The sequence below is a fragment of the Homo sapiens genome, chromosome 10, assembly GCF_000001405.40.
Source record: "Homo sapiens chromosome 10, GRCh38.p14 Primary Assembly".
Classification (NCBI taxonomy): Eukaryota; Metazoa; Chordata; class Mammalia; order Primates; family Hominidae; genus Homo; species Homo sapiens.
The window spans coordinates 52,410,652-52,414,553 of NC_000010.11; the positions used below are offsets into that span (position 1 = coordinate 52,410,652).

Below are 3,902 nucleotides of genomic sequence, written 5' to 3' on the forward strand. Positions count from 1 at the left end.
TGTTCCACAGTTCCAGAGTTATTTTAAAAAGATACTTTCTCAACACATGAAGAAGCTTAAAGTTACAGCATCAGGAAAATATCCTTGGTAGATCCATGTGTTTATCATTTACTTTAGAAATATTTGTGCCTACAGTTTTGTCTTTGAGAGCTGTATTTAGGTGGTCCTGACTGGGCATTCTATATCTATGGGAGATTTTAATTTTCTGGGGAAAACTTTCACAAACATTGAAGTTAACCCAATGTTTCTGCCTTGCACTTAATTGAGATATTTTGGGAATGAGCAGTCAGAATATTTTATTTTATAAGTGGCATAACATAATTAAAACTAAAAATGGAAAGTCAAACTATAAGAATTTATCGCCCCCGCGCGCCAGTCCTGCCGAGCTGGCCAGCCGGCCTGGCTCCCCTCCCTGGCCCCATGGGCGGGCGGACTGCCCAGAGGAGGAGAGGAGGGGGCTGAGCCGGCCGGCGGCGGGCAAGGATGCGGAACTTCTGCGCTGCCCTTAACTGCACGCGGAAGAGCACGCAGTCCGACCTGGCCTTCTTCAAGTTCCCGCGGGACCCGGCCAGATGCCAGAAGTGGGTGGACAATTGTAGGAGAGCAGATTTAGAAGATAAAACACCTGATCAGCTAAATAAACATTATCAATTATGTGCCACACATTTTGAGACCTCTATGATCTGTAGAACTATACATTTTGCAGAGGCATCAGAAAACTAAACAATTGGTTTATTTTATTTCTCAAAACTAATTGAAGCAGATACTCGTGAAGTCATTGGGAGAGTCCTTACAGGACAGTTCTTCGAGATAATGCAATACCAACAATATTTGATCTTACCAGTCATTTGAACAACACACAGAGTAGACACAGAAAACGAATAAAAGAACTGAGTGAAGACGAAATCAGGACACTGAAACAGAAAAAAAGTTGATGAAACTTCTGAACAGGAACAAAAACATAAAGAAACCAACAATAGCAATGCTCAGAACCCCAGTGAAGAAGGGGGTGAAGGACAAGATGAGGACATCTTACCTCTAACCCTTGAAGAGAAGGAAAACAAAGAATAACTAAAATCTCCATTTGAAATCTTGATTCTGATGGGAAAGCAAAACATACCTCTGGATGGATATGAGGCTGATGAAATCCCAGAAGATCTCTTTACTCCAGATAACTTTCAAGCACTGCTGGAGTGTCGGCCCGGATAAATTCTGGTGAGGAGGTTCTCAGAAAGCAGTTTGAGACAACAGCAGTTAACACGTTGTTTTGTTCAAAAACACAGCAAAAACAGGTGCTAGAGATCTGTGAGAGCTGTATTCGAGAATAAACTCTCAGGGAAGTGAGAGACTCACACTTCTTTTCCATTATCACTGACAATGTAGTGGACATAGCAGGGGAAGAGCACCTACCTGTGTTGGTGAGGTTTGTTGATGAATCTCATAACCTGAGAGAGGAATTTGTAGGCTTCCTGCCTTATGAAGCTGATGCAGAAATTTTGGCTGTGAAATTTCACACTGTGATCACTGAGAAGTGGGGATTAAATATGGAGTATTGTCGTGGCCAGGCTTACATTGTGTCTAGTGGATTCTCTTCAAAAATGAAAGTTGTTGCTTCTAGACTTTTAGAGAAATATCCCCAAGCTATTTACATGCTCTACTCTTCCTGTGCCATAAACATGTGGTTGGCAAAATCAGTACCTGTTACGGGAGTATCTGTTGCATTAGGAACAATTGAGGAAGTTTGTTCTTTTTTCTATCGATCGCCACAACTGCTTTTAGAACTTGACAATGTAATTTCTGTCCTTTTTCAGAACAGTAAAGAAAGGGGTAAAGAACTGAAGGAAATCTGCCATTCTCAGTGAACAGGCAGGCATGATGCTTTTGAATTCCAGCAAGCACTTGTTTTATGTTTAGAGAGTACAGTGACACAAATATTAGATGGAATAACTGTATAGCTGGCCGCGCCTTTGTACTCTGCAGTGCAGTAACAGATTTTGATTTCATTGTTACTACTGTTGTTCTTAAAAATGTCCTTTTACAAGAGCCTTTGGGAAAAATCTCCAGGGTCAAATCTGATGTCTTCTTTGCAGCCGGTAGCTTGACTGCAGTACTGCATTCACTCAACGAAGTGATGGAAAATATTGAAGTTTATCATGAATTTTGGTTTGAGGAAGCCACAAATTTGGCAACCAAACTTGACCTTCAAATGAAACTCCCTGGGAAATTCCGCAGTGCTCACCAGGGTAACTTGGAATCTCAGCTAACCTCTGAGAGTTACTATAAAGAAACCCTAAGTGTCCCAACAGCGGAGCACATTATTCAGGAACTTAAAGATATATTCTCAGAACAGCACCTCAGAGCTCTTAAATGCTTATCTCTGGTACCCGCAGTCATGGGACAACTCAAATTTAATACCTAGGAGGAACATCATGCTGACATGTTGTAGAAGTGGCTTACCTAATCCCAACATGCTCTCAGCCGAGCTTCATTGTTGGAGAATCAAATGGAAACGCAGGGGGAAAGATACAGAGCTTCCATCCACCATCTGTGAAGCCCTCCATCTGCCTGACATCAAGTTTTTTCCTAATGTGTATGCATTTGCTGAAGGTCCTGTGTATTCTTCCTGTGATGAAGGTTGAGAATGAGTGGTATGAAAATGGATGAAAGCATCTTAAAGCATATTTGAAGTACACTTTGACAGACCAAAGATCAAGTAACTTGGCTTTGCTTAACATAAATTTTGATATAAAACATGACCTGGATTTAATGGTGGACACATATATTAAACTCTATACAAGTAAGTCAGAGCTTCCCACAGATAATTGGGAAACCATGGAAAATACCTAAGAGACTTTTAAAAACAGGCTTTTTTTTTTTTTTTTTTTTGAGACGGAGTGCAGTGGCGCGATCTTGGCTCACTGCAAGCTCTGCCTCCCAGGTTCCCACTATTCTCCTGCCTTAGTCTCCCTAGTAGCTGGGACTAAAGGCACCAGCCACCATGCCTGGCTAATTTTTTGTATTTTTAATGGACACGGGGTTTCACCGTGTGAGACAGGATGGTCTCGATCTCCTGACCCCGTGATCTGCCTGCCTTGGCCTCCCAAAAAAATAGGCTTTCTTATATTTGATATTTGGAAGTAAAGCAATAAGGTGTATATAGGCCACTTAATCACTAAATATCTTTGCCTATAGGACTCCATTGAATACATTAGCCATTGATAATCTACCTGTTTAAATAGCCCCTGTTTGAACTCTCATGTTTTGAGGACCTATCTGTTCTTCCAGAAGAGAACATTGAAAGTGCCATGTTTCCTTCTGCATGTTCTCTGCTGGTGGCACTCTGGAATTGTTTTAGTTAAGTCATTTTAGACATAGCATTTATTATCACTGTGGATCTCTACTCATTGGGTGTGAATGAATTCTTTGAAGAAATATATTTTGAAGAGGTATGGGAGGAAGGAATACATTTTATAAAATGTTATAGTGAAGCCCACAATTGACCTTTGACTAGTAGGAGTTTTAAGTATGTTAAAAATCTATACTGGACAGTTACAAGAAATTACCAGAGAAAGAAAAGCTAGTGAGCTCACCAAACAAGGATTTCAGTGTAGATTTTGTCTTTCTCAAATGAACTTAAGGGAACAAATGACAGTTAAAGTTTGAATTGAAGTCTGCCATTGTTCCACATCTGGTTGTTTCTGTTTACATTCCTCTGTGGAGCCTACAGCTTCCTAAGCTTCTTAGCAGGTATATGTTGAACACTTCTGTTTCATGGATAAGACAGAATCAGAGGCCATGGATACTGACAACTCATTTATCTGTTTTTTTCTGTCTTTTTCCATGACTTGTCTTCATTTATAAGCAAAACCTGGAAAACCTACAAAAATAAGTGTTGTGGTTTA

The 3,902-nt window shown here is 40.4% G+C and overlaps 1 pseudogene; it reads left to right on the forward strand.

Moving 5' to 3' along the window:
• THAP12P3 (THAP domain containing 12 pseudogene 3) lies at window positions 363-2,888 on the forward strand (annotated as a pseudogene).